Consider the following 19,429-nt stretch of genomic DNA (forward strand, 5'->3'; position numbering starts at 1 on the left):
AGTGGCTTTTCCAGGTTCATGGTGCAAACTACCATTCTGGGGTCTGAACGACAGTGGCCCTCTTCTCAGCTCCACTAGACAGTGCCCCAGTGGGGAGTCTGTATGGGGGCTCCAGCCCCACATTTGCCTTCCACACTGCCTTAGGAGAGGTTCTCCATGAGGGCTCTGCCTCTGCAGCAGACTTCTGCCTGGACATCCAGGTATTTCCATACACCCTCTGAAATCTAGGCAGAAGTTCCCAAAGCTCATCTCTTGTCTTCACACCCACAGGCCCAACACCACATAGAAGCTTCCAAATCATGGGGCTTACACCCTCTGAAGCAACAATCTAAGCTTTAGCTTGGCCCCTTTTAGCCACAGCTCAAGCTAGAGCAGGCGGGAAACAAGGCACCAAGTCCTGAAGCTGCACAGAGCAGTGGGGCCCTGGGCCTGGCCCATGAAACCATTTTTCCCTCCTAGGCCTCCAGGCCTGTGATGAAAACGGCTTCCATGAAGGTCTTTGATATGCCCTGGAGACATTTTCCCCATTGTCTTGGCTATTAACAGTTGACTGCTTGTTACTTGTGCAAACTTCAGCAGCTCACTTGAGTTCCTCCCCAGAAAATGGGTTTTTCTTTTCTTCCATATGGTCAGGCTGCAAATTTTCCAAATTTCTGCTTCCTGTGAATTTTCCAAACCTATGCTTTGCTTCCCTTTTAAACTTAAGTTTCAATTTCAAACCATCTATTTGTGAACGTATAGTGGAATGCTTTCAGAATAAGCCAGGACACCTCTTGAATGCTTTGCTACTTAGAAATTTCTTCAGACAGATACACTAAATCATCTCTCTGTACTTCAAAATTCTGCAGATCTCTAGGGCAGGGACAAAATGTCAATGTCTCTTTGCTAAAATATAACAAGAATGACCTTTGCTCCAGTTCCTCTTCTCCATCTGAGACCACCTCATCTTGGACTTCATTGTCCATGTCACTGTCAGCATTTTGGTCAAAAACATTCAACAAATCTCTAGGAAGTTCCAAACTTTCCTATATCTTCCTGTCTTCTTCTAAGCCCTCCAAACTGTTCCAACCTCTGCCCATTGCCCAGTTCCAAAGTCACTTCCACATTTTCAAGTTATCTTTATAGCAGTGCCCCACTACCAATTCTCAGCAGTTCTCACACTGCTATAAAGATACTACCTGAGACTGGATAATTTATAAACAAAAGAGGTTTAATTGACTCAAAGTTCTGCATGGCTGGGAGGCTCTCTCAGGAAACTTACAATCATGGTGGAAGGCAAAGGGGAAGCAAGGCACAACTTATATGGCAGCAGGAGAGAGGGAACATGAGCAATGGGGAAGTCCCATGCTTTAAAACCATCAGACCTCATGAGAACTCTCTCACTATCATGAGAACAGCATGGGGGAAACTGCCCCATGATCCAGTCACCTCCCACCAGATCCCTCCCTTAACACATGGGGATTACAATTTGAGATAAGATTTGGGTGGGGACACAGAGCCAAACCATTTCAAAGAAACATAGGTGATTTCCTCTATAACCAGGGAGTAGGGAAAACTTTCCTAACTGTGGCTCAAATTCCAGAAGTATAATTTTGCTTACCAAAAATTAAGCATTTGCAAGTAACAAGACATCACAGGCAAAGTAAACAGACAAATGACAAAATGGGCAAAGGTACTCCTAGTGTTAGTATCTCTAATATATAAACAACCTTTACAAATAAAAAGCTGGGCATGATGGCTTAAGCCTGTAATCCCAGCTACTCAGGAGACTGAAGTGGGAGGATCACTTGAGGCCAGGAGTTTAAGACCATCCTATGCAACATAGCGAGACCCCCATCTCAAAAATAAATAAGTAAAATAAACAGATAATAATAAAAGAACCCAAACCTTAGGAAAATGAGCTTGTAGGATGAACAATAAACAGGAAAAGAAATTCAAATGATTCTTTATCATATGAAAATATGCTTATCTCATTCATACTAACAGAAATGTAAAAAAATAAAATCACAGATTCTCTTTCTCACATATTAAATTGGCAAAAATTAGAAAGTTTGACATGACTGCTGATGGGTAAACAGGCATGCTCACATTGCTGATGGTCCTGTAAATTACCCTCTTACTATGGTGGTTGTGGAGGATTGGGCAGAATTTGGTAAAATTACTAATGCATACGCCCTTTGACCAGCAATTCTGCTTCTAGGAATCTATCCCCAAAACAAACTGGCAAAAATACAATTTTTTTTTTTGAGACAGAGTCTTGCTCTGCCACTCAGGCTGGAATACAGTGGTGTGATCCCAGCTCACTGCAACCTCTGCCTCTGAGGTTCAAGCAATTTTCCTGCCTCATCCTCCCAAGTTGCTGAGACCACAGACCTGTGCCACCATGCGTGGCTAATTTTTTTTTTTTTTTTTTAGTACAGACGGGGTTTCACTATGTTGGCCAGGCTGGTCTCGAACTCCTGACCTCAAGTGATCCACCCATCTCAGCCTCTCAAAGTGCTGGGATTACAGGCATGAGCAAAACTACTTTTTTTTTTTTTTTTTTTTTTTTGAGACGGAGTCTCACTCTGTCACCAGGCTGGAGTGAAGCGGCGCGATCTCAGCCCACTGCAAGCTCCGCCTCCCAGGTTCATGCTATTCTCCTGCCTCAGCCTCCTGAGTAGCTGGGACTACAGGCACCCGCCACCACGCCCAGCTAACTTTTTGTATTTTTAGTAGAGACAGGGTTTCACCATGTTAGCCAGGATGGTCTCGATCTCCTGACCTCGTGATCTGCTCGCCTCGGCCTCCCAAAGTGCTGGGTGCTGGGATTACAGGTGTGAGCCACCACACCCAGCCACAAAAAATACTTTTTAAATGTACACACAAGGCTGTTAGTCCTTACAACAGATAGATACATACATACATACATACATACATACATACATACATACATACACACACATATATATATGAGACAGTGTTTTACTCTGTCACTCAGGCTGGAGTGCAGTGGCTGAGTCTCCTCTCACTGCAGCCGCAACCTCCCAGGCTCAAGCAATCCTCCCACCTTAACCTCCTGAGTAGCTGGGACTTGGGACTACAGGCACATGCCACCAAGCCTGGCTAATTTTAGAAAATTTTCTATAGAGATGAGGTCTTCTGTTTCCCAGGCTGGTCTCAAATTCCTGGCTCAAGCAATCCTCCCACTACAGCCTCCTACGGTGCTGGGATTACAGGCATGGCCCACCACATACAGCCATCCTTACAACAATATTTGTAGGAGCAAAAAGGACAGAAACAACCCAATTGTCCACCAATAGAGGATTGATTATACAAATAATGTCAGATTGATAGAGTAGATCTTCAAAACATATTATTATTAAGATGCAAAGTGGAGGAAAGTTTGTCTGTGTATAGCAAAATGCATAATATATTATGTATATAAAATACTTGCTCTCTCTATATATATATATATATTTTTTTGGGGACAGAGTCTCGCTCTGTTGCCCAGGCTGGAGTGCAGTGGCACAATCTCAGCTCACTGCAAGCTCCGCTCTCTGGGTTCACACCTTTCTCCTGCCTCAGCTTCCCAAGTAGCTGGGACTACAGTCACCCGCCACCACGTCCGGCTAATTTTTTGTATTTTTAGTAGAGATGGGGTTTCACCATGTTAGCCAGGATGGTCTCGGTCTCCTGACCTCATGATCCGCCCACCTCGGCCTCCCAAAGTGCTGGGATTACAGGCATGAGCCACTGTGCCCGGCCAGTACTTGCTATATTTTTTAAATGGAAGGATAAACTATAAACATTTAAGAATGGTTAATTACAGGAAGAGGGAAGTAACAAAGTGAGGGATAAAAATAAAAGTTATGGGAGGTTAAGGTGGGTGAATTGCTTTAGTTTAGGAGTTGGAGACCAGCCTGAGCAACACGATGAAATCTGATCTCTACCAAAAAATACAAAAAATTAGCAGGGTGTGGTGGTGCACACCTGTCCCTGCTACTTGGGAGGCTGACTTGGGAGAATTGATTGAGCCCAGAAGGTGGAGGCTGCTATGAACCATGATCCCACCACTGCACTCTAGCCTGGGTGACAGAATGAGACCCTGTCTCCGAAAACAACATAATAAAAGTCCCTTTTGGCCAGGTGTGGTGGTTCATGCCTGTAATCCTAACACTTTGGGAGGCCGAGGCAGGCAGATCACTGGAGGTCAGGAGTTTGACACTGGCCTGACCAACATGGTGAAACCCTGTCTCTACTAAAAATACAAAAATTAGCCAGGCATGGTGGCTGATGCCTGTAATCCCAGCTACTTGGGAGGCTGAGGCAGGAGAATCGCTTGAACCTGGGGGGCGGAGGTTGCAGTGAGCCGAGATCATGCCATTGCATTCCAGCGACAAAAGCAAAATTCCGTCTCAAAAAAAAAATGTTTCTTTCAGTATCTCCTGTTTTGTAAACTTGACTTTGGAATGATGTAAATATTTTACATAATTATGAAACCAAAGTAAAAGATTTGAGGATGAAGCTGGTGCATCTAAATGAGTATCCAGGGGGTAGCATAACCATACCAATAATAGCTTTTTATCAAAACAGTAATTTGTGCATCACTAGTGGAATATACCTCAAAGAAAATAAGATAGTAAAAATATGTATTTTCAGTCATATTATTAGTGGTGATGTTGGTATTAGTATTCTGAGACCGTTGCATGTGTACTGTGGGTTAAAGCAAATGAGCAATAATCTAATCTGTCATTAGTAGTGTAGTTCAGAACTGAGATTCTCTGCATAGGAGAAAGGAGATGTAAAATAGAAGAGAAGTAAAACCCTGTGGTCCTGAGTTTGCATTGCAATTATCTGTATGAATGCACTCTGTATTTTACTGTAAAAGAAAACAAAACATATCTCCTTTTTATTTATACTGAAGAGGCCTAAAAATAATCACCAATCCTATGGCAGCGAGCATCCTAGCCCTTGGACAGTAATTTTGAATTGACCTTTCCCACTAAAGGAGCCAAGAATTTTTGGAGAAAAGGCTGATTCCAGATGAGAGTCAGGAAATATAGAAAGGAGCCTAGAACATCTCATTCTACCAGATATCAAGGAAGCTATCAAAGACTACTAGAGTTGGCCAGGCACGGAGGCTCACGCCTGCAATCCCAGCACTTTGGGAGGCCAAGGTGCGTGGATCATCTGAGGTCAGGAGTTCGACACCAGCCTGACCAATATGGTGAAACCCTGTCTCTACTAAAAATACAAAAATTAGCTGAGTGTGGTGGTGTGCGCCTGTAATCCCAGCTACTCAGGAAGCTGAGGCAGGAGAGTCACTTGAACCTGGGAGGCGGAGGTTGCAGTGGGCCAAGATCACGCCATTGAACTCCAGCCTGGGTGACAGAGCGAGACTCTATCTCAAACAAAACAAAACAAAACAAAATAACCGCTAGAGTCCAAAGACTTGTAACCCAACTAGGCAACAAGAGCCATTGGCCAAAGAAAAGACAGTATGAGCAACGGTAAGAATAATAAATCCAATGGTTTGGAATATACCAAATATGTTTGACCCTTGAGTCCATTTTGTTTTTGGCGGGGGGGACAGGGTCTCACTCTGTTGCCCAGGCTGGAGTGCATTGGTGCGATCTTGGCTCACTGCAACCTTCGCCTCCCAGGCTCAAGCCATCCTCCAACCTCAGCCTCCTAAGTAGCGGGGACCACAGGCATGCACCAGCATGTCCGGCTAATTTTTGTATTTTTTATAGAGACAAGGTTTTGCCATGTTGCTCAGGCTGGTCTTGAAATCCTAAGCTCAAGCAATCAGTCTGCCTTGGCTTCCAAAGTGCTGGGATTACAGGCGTGAGCCGCCCAGCCCAGTTTTTTCTTTATACCATATTCCAGCTAGTAAAGAAGGAATGACAGAATTAGACTATCACTATTTCTCATTCCGTAATGGATCTAGGCAATGATCACCAATGGCTATTAATATTTTTTAAAAGAGAGACTGCTAAACATTACGTTGGTAGAATTAACAGACTATCTATAATGTAATCTTGCCTCCAACCTCCCCATCAAGTCTGAATCTAATCAAGCCTCTATACCCAGCTACCAATTTATAAAACTATAGATATTAGAAGAACGTGTTAAATTATACCAAGAGGATGCAATCAGCAAAATCTAGGTTTTGTGCTTCATGGTGGCTCATGCCTGTAATCCTAGCACTTTGGGAGGCTGAGGCAGGAGGATTCACTTGAGTCCAGGAGTTGTGACACCAGTTTGGGCAACATAGTGAGACTGTGTCTCTATGAAAAAGAAACAAAACTAGCCAGTCATGGTGGTGCATGCCTGCAGTCTCAGCCACTTGGGAGACTGAGGTGGGAGAATCATTGAGCCCAGGAGATCAAGGCTGTGGTAAGCTGAGATCAGGCCACTGCACCCCAGCCTGGGTGACAGAGCAAGACTCTGTCTCAAAAAAAAAAAAAAAAAAAGTAAGAAAGAAAAGAAAAAGAAAAAAAAATCTTCATTTTGTAGACTTGTACAGGTTAAATTATTCATTTTCTTCCACAAATTGGAAAAAAATATAAAGGAATGGAGGAGGAACCCACAGGGACGTACAAGATGTATCAACCAATGGCATCATTATGTGTTGACTTTATTTTGGTCCTAATTCAAACAAACAGCTAAAAATAAATATGACTCCAACAAAAACTTGTACACAGGTATCCATAGCAGCATTATTCATAACAGCTGAAAATATATGATGAACTATTATTCAGCCATAGAAAGGAATATAGGACTGATTCATGCTACAACATGGATCAACCTTGAAGACATTACGTGGCCAGGCATGGTGGCTCACACCTGTAATCCCAGCACTTTGGGAGGCCAAGGTGGGTGGATCGCTTGAACTCAGGAGTTTGAGACCAACCTGGGCAACAAAGTGAAACCCTATCTCTACAAAAAATACAAAATTGGCTGGGCATGGTGGTGCGTTCCTGTAGTCCCAGGTACTCGGGAGGCTGAGGTGGGAAGATTGCTTGAGCTTTGGAGGCAGAGGTTGCAGTGAGCCTAGATCGTGCCACTGCACACTAGCCTGAGTGACAGAGTGAGACCCTGTTGTTTTTTTTTTAAAGGTGTTAAAAAAATTTTTTTAAAGAAATAAAAAAAAAAATTATGATAAGTGAAATAAGCCAGACACAGCACCACAAAGTATATGATTCCATTTATATGAAATGTCTAGAATAGTGAAATTTATAGAAATAGAAAGTATATTAGTGGGTTCCAGGGGCTGGATGAGAAAGGGGAAGTGACTGCTAATGGGTACAGGGTTTCTTTGTGGAGTGATGGAATTCAATACTGGTGATGGTTGTATTATTTTGTGAATATACTATAAACTACTGAATTGGGCCAGGTGTGGTGGTTCGTGCCTGTAATCCTAGCACTTTGGGAGGCTGAGGAGCGTGGATTGCTTGAGCCCAGGAGTTAGAGACCAGACTGGGTAACATGGTGAATCCCTGCCTCTACTAAAAATACAAAAATTAGCCAGGTGTGGTGGCATGCACCTGCAGTCCCAGCTACTGGAGGGCTGAGCTGGGAGGATCACATGAGCCTGGGAGGTTGAGGCTGCAGTGAGCTGAGATCGCACCATTGCACTCCAGCCTGGGTGACACAGTGAGACCCTGTCTCAAAAATGAAAACAAAAAACTACTGAATTGTATACAGTCATGTGTCACTTAACAACAGGGATATGTTCTGAGAAATGCATCATTAGACAATTTCATCATTGTGTCCACATCATACAGTGTACTTACACAGACTTAGATGGATGGAAGAACCTAGGCTATATGGTAGAGCCTTTTGCCCCTAGGCCACAAACCTGTACAGTATGTTACTGTACTGAATACTGTAGACTTCTGTAACACAATGGTAAGTATTTTTGTATCTAAATATAGAAAAGATATAGTAAAACTGGTAAAGGTAATATTGACACAGGATTCTTTCTGTGAAGCTTCACCATCTGGAAATCTCCGCAGCCAGCAGCGCCCCTGCCTGGCACTCACTTGGCTCCGGGCTTGCCTCTGGGCTCATTCTGTCCATCTCTACAAAAACTTTTTAAAAAAATCAGCCTGGCATAGCGGTGCGTGCCTGTAGTCCTCGCTACTCGGGAGGCTGTGTTAGGAGGATCTCTGGAGCCTAGGGGTTGGAGGCTGCAGTGAGCTATGATCATGCCACTGCACTCCAGACTGACTGACAGAGACCCTGTCTCATAATAATAATAATACAGAAGCCAGGCATGGTGGCACACACCTGTAGTCATAGCTAGCTACTCAGGAGGTGGAGGCAGGAGAGCCCAGGAGCTTGGGCAACATAACAAGACTCTGTCTCTCTCTTTTTTTTTTTTTTTTTTTTTTTTTTTTTGAGATAGAGTCTTGTTCTGTCACTCAGGCTGGAGGGCAGTGGTGTGATCTCGGCTCACTGCAACCTCTGCCTCCCGGGTTCAAGGGATTCTCCTGCCTCAGCCTCCTGAGTAGCTGGGACTACAGGTGCATGCCACCATGACTGGCTAATTTTTGTATTTTTAGTGGAGGCGGGGTTTCACCATGTTGGTCAGGCTGGTCTGGAACTCCTGACCTCAAGGGATCCACTCGCCTCAGTCTCCCAAAGTGCTGGGATTATAGGTGTGAGTCACCACGCCCAGCCAAGACCCTATCTCTTAAAAAAAAAGAAGTTAGGCTGGGCGCGGTGGCTCATGCCTGTAATCCCAGCACTTTGGGAGGCCGAGGTGGACGGATCACGAGGTCAGGAGATGGAAACCATCCTGGCTAACACAGTGAAACCCCGTCTCTACTAAAAATACAAAAAAATTAGCCGGGCGTGGTGGCAGGTGCCTGTAGTCCCAGCTACTCGGGAGGCTGAGGCAGGAGAATGGCGTGAACCCAGGAGGCGGAGCTTGCAGTGAGCCGAGATAGCACCACTGCACTCCAGCCTGCATTTATAATCAAATATATATATATATATATATATTTGGAATTTATTGTTGCATGGTATGTGAATATTTAAAAATATTTCACTTGTGTTCAAGGATAATGTGTATTCTCTTTGTAAAGTTTATATTCTCTGTGAGCTAATTGATTGTATTCAGCTTTTATGTTAACTTTTGTCAACTTTTTTATTCTAGGAGGCAGTGTTTAACATTTTCAATGAACACTGTCAACTTTTCTATTTCTTCCTTTAGTTTTTGTCAGTTCTTATTCTGTGTACTTTGAATCCATATTTTTAACTGCAGATATGTTGGCAATATGTATAATCTTGCTTCTTTGTTAATTTTACTAGCATATAATATTTATTGTCTCTTTTCATGTATTTTTTGCTTGAATTCAGTTTTGTGAGACATTATAATTGTTAACAGATTTCTTTGTTTTAAACTTACCTGGTATATCTTTTTCCATTCTTCTATTTTCAACCTTTCAGCATACTTTTAAGTATTTCTTTTGGTGACAACATAATATTAGATTTTTTTCCCTTAAGTCCAATTTGAGCGTCTGTCCCTTAATTAGTGAATTTATGCTCTTTACATATATGGTAATTGTCATAATACTAGGACTTATTTCTTTCATTTTGTTTGGGATTTGTTTTCTTATGCTATTTTAGGTGCTGCATATTCTTCCTATTGATTTTTTACGCTTATCAGCATACATTTCTTCCCCCAACAAGACATAGTATTTTGAAATGCTTCATCACATACCTGCCACCATCTAGTTCCTACTCTTACCCTGTTCCTTCTGCTTCATGTAGATATCATACAGAATTTTAGTCATGGTTTGTCCTAGATATAATTTCTCCTCTTTTCTTTGGTTGTTGCTTTTTTTAGACTATAGTGAACTTGAACATTTGGCAAATGTTTTATGTCTTTGTGCCCTAGTTTTCTTATTTATAAAGTGAAAATAATTCCACCTTCCTCACGTGGCTTTTTGTGGGAGGTAAATGTGGCAGTGTGAGTGAGAATGCTTGATAACATGTGAATAATTATGTGAGAGGTGATTATCAGTCAAAAATTACCTTTTATTCCAATGCCCACCCTTTTCTACTTCACTCAAGTACTCTTTTCAATCTCCTTTTCAGAATTCGTATTTCCTTTTCTTTACCCCATAATCCTTTGTGCTTTTATGATTAAAAGAATTCTGTATGTGTTCCCAAGCCCAGAGCTGCTGGTAGGCTCCAGCAAGGGAGATGCTGTGCGGCCTGTTTCACCAGGTTTAGCACAGTAAGCTGGGAAAACCCAAGGGAAAAAGCCTTTGGGATGTCGATGAGTGTGGAAGGTAGGGTGTCATTGGAGCTATCACTATTCAGCAAAAGAAGGGAACTGTGAAGGTGGAGGATATAGCATTTCCTTCTTTAACAAAAGCAGGCTTGGTGTGGGAACAGTGGGCTCTATAATGTAATGAAAACTATTTTCAGATACTATTGAAATTAAAATGTATTATTGCAGTGTATGGCTTAATGTAATGGTAACTTTATTTCTTACCAGGCTCATATTGGCAACTTATTAACATCAAAATTCTTCAGTTATAAGGATTTTGATACTTTATTATATACCTGTGCAGCAGAGTTTGACTTTATGGAAAAAGAGGTAAGATGTGATTTCTAGTTCTGTTTCCTAAGGTTTTGGCCCATACATTTTTCATAAAGGGTGCCCCTCTTATATCAGACTCTTTATGTACTGTTATCTCAGTTTGAAGGAAAAGGAAAATCTGGCAACTTAGAGAAAGATTTTTCTATTTACTTTAGTGCAGCTCCCTGAAATATATGGCCTTTACTCATTTCGATAATTTAGAAATACACATTCAGACTAGCAGTGGTTTTCTAGGTGAGTAAACACAGAGGCATTAAAAGTTGCCATTTTTCAGTGATAGCATTAATTTAGTCAAGCTTTCAAGCTCTTACATTTCCACTCATTTTGTGGTTATTTAAACAGATATTTGCTTTGAAACATCAAGTCCAAGCTTTTCCTTCCAACAGCATTTTTCTTTCTAAAACTGTATTCAGAGATTTAGAAGGAAAGCAGAGAGTAGTTTAGTGGATTGTGAGACAGAAGCCTGCAATTTTGCTTGATGTTCTTGAACAAGCAACTCTCATTCCTTGTGTTACAGTTTACTAGTTTCTAGTAGCATGCCATAAACAGATATTGTGAAGACAAAATGAGATAATACAAAGGAAAGTACTTTGATATTTTAAATAAATAAATATTTAAATAAACAAAATATTAATTTGCAATACTTTATGAGCTGGTTTAGTTCAATAAACATGTATATATGTGCATTTTTAACACCATCCACGTGGTACTGATTAATTATATTATCTGTGTCACTCCTTCAGAGTGGTATGTGTGTGTATATGAAACTGGCCAACAATACTCTATTGACATGTTAGTTTCCCTCATGATCCCACTGTGTTAGCCCAGTGTCCAGAGTTCCAGACCAGTGGATGAGAGGGCACCACACAGGAAACTTTTATCTACCGGCCATTTGGAGTTGAGTGTGTTCTGAAGAGGTACTGTTTACTCCAGTGGCCTGTCAGTCTTCATTTATTGTGTTCCGGCAAATGGTTTTGACACACAGTGGCTGACAAAGGTATATGAGTTTTAGTGTTAAACCTGCTGAAACAAACAAAGGAAGCATATCTTGCAAGACATTGAAATGCATGTTCATAGGGGTTCAAGACTCCTTCACATATTAGAGAATTAGGATGTGGTGAAGTTGTTTAATGTTATTGAGAACATCATACATACTGCTACAATCTGAGAGTATTAAATGTAAGTTATGTAATGAAAGAAATAATTTATTGAGGCATAGCATGACTTCAGCTAATTTGAAGAAAATAGCAAAGCTGTTTCCAGCATACCATTCCTCATCACTGTAAGTATCTGAATTCTTAGGGACTGTGCCATAGAGACAGAGTAGTGTCAATTCAGGGAATATATGTTCCAATTATACACCCATACAATACCTATAACATGGTATTTCCTAACATGATATCATACTGACATGGAAAGATGCTTAAGATATATAAGGGAGTAAACAAAATGATATAGTCTTATTAATGCATAATTAACAAACATAAAAGTAAAAAAAAGTGTAAAAGAGCAAAATTTTAAGAGTGGTTTTTTGGGTGGAGAGATAATCGAGAGGTATAGGGCTTTTTTATTAAACTTATTTCTATTTTTTTTCTGCTACTAAAGAAAATGTAAAAGTCTTTTGTTCCCCTCAAACATCAATCATTATTTTGTTTATGTGTGAGAAACTGTGTGTGTGTGTGTGTGTGTGTTTGTGTGTGTGTATGTTTCAATGATAATATTTTTATCCCCCACAAAATATACAGGAAAAGCTTATTCCATTTAAGGAGCTTTACGTACCTTAGATGAATATTAAGTTGGTCTCTCTAGTTAGATAAGTAGCATGCAAAAAGTGAGCAGTAATCTTTTCAGTGACATTTCACACTTACAGGTGTTTGGGTACTGTATTTTTAGTGTTTCAACTCAGCATTTTGGGGAAGTTCATTTCTATGGAAATGCACTTTCCTTTTTATGATGGCAGTCAGTGAGAAGATTGGTGAATGTTCATATTTCTCTACTTTTAGAAATTTACCTATTTCATTATTTGAAATGAAACTTTATTTGGTTAAAATGTTTCCTTCTAACAAAACATCTCTTTGAATTTCAGACTCCACTGAGATACACAAAGACATTATTGTTTCCAGTTGTTCTTGTAGTGTTTGTTGCTATTGTTAGAAAGGTATGTCTATCACTTAAGAGCTCTTTCTTATAATAGAATATTTTCTTGTTTTTACATAGTAGTTGCATATACTTGGCCACATATTAATCTGATACAATGTTTTGTATGGGCTTACTGTAACATATTATATGTTTTCTTAATGATAGTTTTTGATAGACATTTATATATCTTCAAAATATTCTATCTGCTAGCATAAAATAGACATCGGAAAATGATGGCTCAAGTTTCAATAGTCATGTATTTTGGAAGGCATGATCAGAGACCATATTGACCCAGATACAACTTGCCTGTGTAAATTATTACTGGCTTTTACCTTTAATGTAATATTTCCCTAAAATATTTAATACATACCTTTCTAAGTGATTTGTGCAGTGTGCAGTAACTCCTGGATTGTGTTTATTATTAATCAGAAAGAAAAAACAGTATTTGCAATGTGTTGATGAACTAGATAAAATGTTTAGGATCCCCAACTTGGCTTTGATAATAAAATTCTAAGCCCAGATATAAATAAGGTCAAAGCAAGTGTGATATTCCCTCTCTTTTTTTCTTTCAAGAATTGTGCACTCTGTAACCCAATGTGTCTTAAGAGAATGAATAGAAGTTAATCTGTGATGGAAAAAGAGATGACAGAACTTAAAAGTTTCCTGATTTGTAGCCAGTGATTTCTGTGTTAATACAATTTCATTTATTTGTAGAATATTCTGTATTATAACAATTGTTCATATTATATATTTGTACTCTGCTTTGTATAGAACAATTTCACGTGAGTATTTAAATTGTTTATTCGACAGCCCTATGGGGTAGACAAATGTTATCTCCATTTTAACATACGGAACTGAAAGATCAAAGATGTTAGGAACCTCACATCATGTCCACTTAAAAGCAAGGGAAGAGTATGACTCGGGCTCTGCACCTTCCCCCATCATTGGGCTACGTCTGGTATTCAGCTATGCACTCCAACAGCACTTTTCATCTCTAATCAGTTAATAGTCAGTTCCTGGCCAGGTGCAGTGGCTCATGCCTGTAATCCCAGCACTTTGGGAGGCTGAGGCTGACAGATCACGAGGTCAGGAGATCGAGACCATCCTGGCTAACACATTAAAACCCCATCTCTACTAAAAATACAAAAAATTAGCCAGGCGTGGTGGCAGGCACCTGTAGTCCCAGCTACTTGGGAGGCTGAGGCAGGAGAATGGTGTGAGCCCGGGAGGCGGAGCTTGCAGTGAGCCAAGATCGCACCACTGCACTCCAGCCTGGGCGACAGAGCAAGACTCTGCCTCAAAATAAATAAATAAATAAATAAATAAATAGTTCCTGCTGTGTGCTAGGCTTTGTGTGTGCTTTGCACTTTTATATACTTTATGTGGATTTGAACCTAGTGGGTACTCAAAAACTACTAAGCACTGGCCATCCAGAACATATGCAAAAGACAGCAACGTGAGTGGTGACAGATGATGAAAACTATTAGCTGGGCTGTTTCGTTTAGAGAAGAAAAGATTCAGATGGAAAGTGGATAATTACTTTGAAATATGTTAAAAGCCTGCCCCTTGAAAATAAGGTTACACACAATCTGGCTCCTTAGAATCATGGCCAATTCCAGGCGGTAGGACTTTTGACCAGAACTGATCTCAACTGATAAGGAAAGTGTTATAGATTCAAGCAGCAGCTGGTGGATTCTAAGGGCTGGATTACAGCCTGTCATCAGTGTTGTAGAGAATATTTGTACTGGAGATAGGATTTTAGATTAGATGACCTCCTCGTTATTGCTAAATATGAAAGCACAGTGACTGTGTTTTGAATGCTTCCAGCTGTGATTATCAACCTCTGAGCCAGCTCTCCAGTTTTCTGAGTGCACTGTTAAGAAGAGGTGTTGCCAACAACGTTGGCATGGTGGAAGCAGCGCTGAATGTGAATTTGAAGCCAGAAGATCTGGTTTCAAGACTGCAGTTCTTCTTAGTAGTTGTCTACCTACAGGGCGATCATTTAATCCATATGAGCCTGTTGCTCATTTACAAAATGAGGATGATATAATCTACCCAACAGGGTTGTTGAATATTAGTGTTGATCAAATACTACACAAATATAAGATTATGTTGTTGTGATTATTATTTTCTGAGTTATCTCTTATCTCTATACTTATATTTTTCATTAAAAGTTTTACAATTTAGAAGATACTTTAGTTAAAATATCATTTTTCCCAACACAGCTTTTCTAAAGTGTTTCAAAATCTATTTACAGATTATTAGTGATATGTGGGGTGTCTTAGCTAAACAACAGACACACATAAGGTAAATATGCTATTAAGAATTTTGTTACCTCCTCTGTTCATTTATTAAATAGATATTTACAGTGTATTAATTTTATACTCACATGTTGTGTACCTAATATTTGATAATTGATGTTTTTATTGTGGTCATTTCCCTTCTTGGTGTTTCTTCTTATTTCCTATCTGTGCAGAACACAGCACATCACTTATTCATCCTTCAGATGTTATCCAGTACAATCTGACAGTAGCCCTGCACATAATCTACACTCGAAGGACACAGTTTTATACTTCAGTTCAGCAGGGAAAGTAAATTATTATGTGAGTGGTTTTAGGACCAGTGGACTGCCTTTTGGGAAATGAGCAGGGAAATATAAAACTGGATTCATACCTCACTTTTTGCAGAAAATAAATTTCAGATGAAGCAGAGAATTAGGTATAGAAAAAAAATAAAGCCCCAAAATTAACTAAGAGGGTAGGTTTATAATCTGAGAGTTAGGGAGGCCTACAGTATGCTTGGTATTTTCTGCCATCACACCCTTTCATCTTACTCTCTTACCATTTATCACCCTTTGTACTTAAATGTTGATGTGTGACCTGTATCTCCTGAAGGGAGGGATCATTTTTGTTCAACAGTTTATATACAGTGCCTGCAAGATAGTAAAGGATAGTAGTTGAATGAGTGAGTATTTACATATGACTAATGAACATGAAAAGGTAGTCTTGATCCTATGGTAAAGACATTCAGGTTGAAGTGAAGACCTTTTCACTTCTCATATTTCTAAAAATTAATAGTATACCCAATGCTTGCAAGAGTGGGAGGTAGTAGATGGGAGGGAAATTTGGCAATAAACAGTAAAACATATAGTGGGCCTGTACTTTAGCCCTGCAGGTTCTACCAGCGCAAGTGTACTCTCCAGAGATGCTCACAGAAATACAGAGATGATGGGGAGAAATGTCTTTTGTAGTATTGTGTGTAATGTGAGAAATGGAAACATCCAAAATATCTACTATGATCCAATCATAGAGTGGAATGTTAGGCCATCTTTCTGGAAATAGGTCCAGTATACATTATTGAATTTTAAAAATTGCCTCTGTGTGTGTGTGTGTGTGTGTGTGTGTGTGTGTGTGTGTGTGTGTGTGTGTGTGTATAGGATGATTATACTTCTGTTTAAAATTTGGAGATTTTTATGTGTTTGTGCATAGAAGTGATCTGGAAAGATAAATCCTGTAATTATTAAGAGTGTGGGATTGGAAGATGGAGTGAAGGTAGTTTTAACTTTACTTTTATTCTTTTGTAGGATTTTGGGAGGACAAGGATTGTCTAATGTATGTATCTATATTTTCTGTTCTTTTTTTTTTTTTTTTTTTTTTTGAGACAGAGCCTGGCTCTGTCGCCCAGGCTGGAGGAGTGCAGTGGCACGATCTTGGCTCACTGCAACCTCTGCCTCCCGGGTTCAGGCAATTTCATCTGCCTCAGCCTCCTGAATAGCTAAGACTACAGGCGACCACCACCATGCCTAGCTTATTTTTGTATTTTTAGTAGAGACAGGGTTTCACCATATTGGCCAGGCTGGTCTTGAACTCATGATGTCGTGATCTGCCTGCCTCAGCCTCCCAAAGTGCTGGGATTATAGGCATGAGCCACCTCACCTGGCCCTATATTTTCTTTTATAATTTGAATATACACACCCTTATATTATTCCCTCACCTCCAAGTCTCTGCCAACATAATGATAAATTATTGCACATACTCCTGAGAGAATCCTTGTTCTCACTTAGAAACAATTTACTGTAACATATACAGGTATATGTTTATACCTGTAACATTTGAGTTGAGGGCTAAGGGGGAAAGAAAAACGTTCTGGTTTACAATGCCGAAATTTTTCTTCATTTGAGGTGAAATTACTTTTGAAGAGCTCAGGAAGAAGCTACAAAGTTTCAGCTGTAGTATGCAGCTCTGGAAGAGGAAGGTGGAACTTCTCACAGAAACAAAGCTGTCCCTTCAAGAGTAATAACTCACCTATAGAAATAATTATAGGAAACCATTAAGCTTCATGGGGTTTTCAGTTCAAATAGGATCAGAGCTCTTTTTTGGAAGAGGAGTGGCAATGTTGACATTTTATTTTGCATAGCTACCAAAGCCAGTGTAAAAAGGAGAAGAGTAGGACATAAATTTTAACTATGAAAGACGTGAATGCCAATATTCTCTTTACTCAAAGACCCAGGAAGTAAAGTGGGTTAGAGGCAGCATGATGTAGTAAAAAGTATATTGGCTCTGAAGTCAGGCAGAATATAGTCCTGGCTGCCACTTAGCAGCTCTGTGATTCCCTTTCCTTGGCTGTAAATTGGGGTAATAAATGGTTGTAGGATTAGAGTTAATGGAATGTACTAAGCATATTAACATTGTAAGTACTCAACAAATGGTAACTGATAGTTTTTATGTGGAGTGAAACAAGAATAAAGAAAGAACTGTTTCATCTCCTTCACTAGCCCCCTATGTACTACTGAGTTTGCTAATATATCAGTCTTTTTGAGGCCAAATTCTCAAATTAGATTATATGCTACCTGGATTAACAGTTTTTTGTTTTTTTGTTTGTTTGTTTGAGACGGAGTCTCGCTGTGTTGCCCAGAATGGAGTGCAGCGGCACTATCTCGGCTCGCTGCAAGCTCCGCCTCCCAAGTTCACGCCATTCTCCTGCCTCAGCCTCCTGAGTAGCTGGGACTACAGGCGCCCGCCACCACACCTGGCTAATTTTTTGTATGTTTTTTTGGTAGAGACGGGGTTTCATTGTGTTAGCCAGGATGGTCTCGATCTCCTGACCTTGTGATCCGCCCACCTCAGCCTCCCAAAGTGCTGGGATTACAGGCGTGAGCCACCGCACCTGGCCTGGATTAACAGTTTATTGATACACTTGTTCATTCATTAAAAATGTTGAGCTGTAAGTGCCAGGTATTACTCTAGAACTTGGGAACATATCAGTGCTTAAGAAAGAGAAGGTGTGCGTTGTCAACTCACACATTTCTGTCTCTGACACAGACTTCTCCCTTGAACTCAGATTTACACATATAACCACCTATTTGTCATCTCTACTTGGTTGCCTAGTGAAAATCTCAAAGGTTTTTTTCATTCCATGCTTTGCTGGGTTATCACCAGTGAGGGAGCTGGGACACCACAGTGTGCCTTTGTTGTCCTAATAAATACCCATGTAGTCAAATAGGATATAATACAACATTGTCATTCTTCATAAATTTTCTTAAAATAGTATAGCACCAGTTTTGGCATGTAACTTTTAGTTATTTTGATTTGCCTATATGTGTCCTGAGAGAATGTTATAGAAGTTGTAAAACTCCTATTTGCAAGATGAAAATGCAAATATATGAAATAAGTGCTTCAATAATGAATTGATAGCAATATATTTTTTTCTGTTCCAGAAAACACCAGTTTGATCATGGAGAGGTAAAGACTTAATATCACTATAATTTTACTTATCTTAAAGTTGCATGCATTTGGACTTTCCTTTCTAGTTCCAGTTTCTAACTTTGTTGGAATTATCAGCAATCATCTTGAAAATAGCCTGTTATGTGTTTTTATGAGAATGCTACATGCAGATTCACTGACCATTCATTTGTTAAAATTAACTAGGAAACTTATTTGTTCTGCTCTGATCATCTTTACGCTAACAGCAGTTGATTTCTGGAGCCCATTTAGACATACGTGTGAGGTGTCTATTGCATGATTGGAAATCACTTTCCTCTCTGCTCACCTTGCTTGAGGCCTCAGAGATGTGATTGGTTACTGCTCCCATCTCCTAGTGGTCCAGTCTGGTTTTGAGGGCAGTTCCAAGGTGGAGCCCTCAGATCTTGAGGCAGCAGTCATTTCTTTTACCACTGTCTTTTCTTGGTCTGATGGTAGCATCAAGGTAGATTAAAAAATGTGGGCTTTATTAACCACAGGTTTGACTCTGAGAATCACAGAAACACTTGCCTTAATGACTTTATAATTTCAGCCTTCCACTAAAATAGAACAGTTTGAAAGTGAATTTTAAGAATTGTTTTAGAAATTTCAGAAACCAAAGTAGTAGTATTTTTTGTTACTAAGGAGAACATACCCCTTTCTGCATATTGCCAGCTTAGTATTCTTAAACTTCACAAACAGTAGGAGTAAAAAACATTTTCTTCTTTCTTTCAGCTGGTTTACCATGCATTGCAATTGTTAGCATATACAGCCCTTGGTATTTTAATTATGAGACTAAAACTCTTCTTGACACCACACATGTGTGTTATGGCATCACTGATCTGCTCAAGACAGGTAACATGTTATGTTGGAGTATAGCCACTGTGATAATTTTAGCCTTTATTATTGAGTGGCCCTAAAATAATGAATTACAAAGTCTTTTAAGTGA

This window comes from Homo sapiens, chromosome 7 (genome assembly GCF_000001405.40).
Source record: "Homo sapiens chromosome 7, GRCh38.p14 Primary Assembly".
In the NCBI taxonomy this organism is placed as follows: Eukaryota; Metazoa; Chordata; class Mammalia; order Primates; family Hominidae; genus Homo; species Homo sapiens.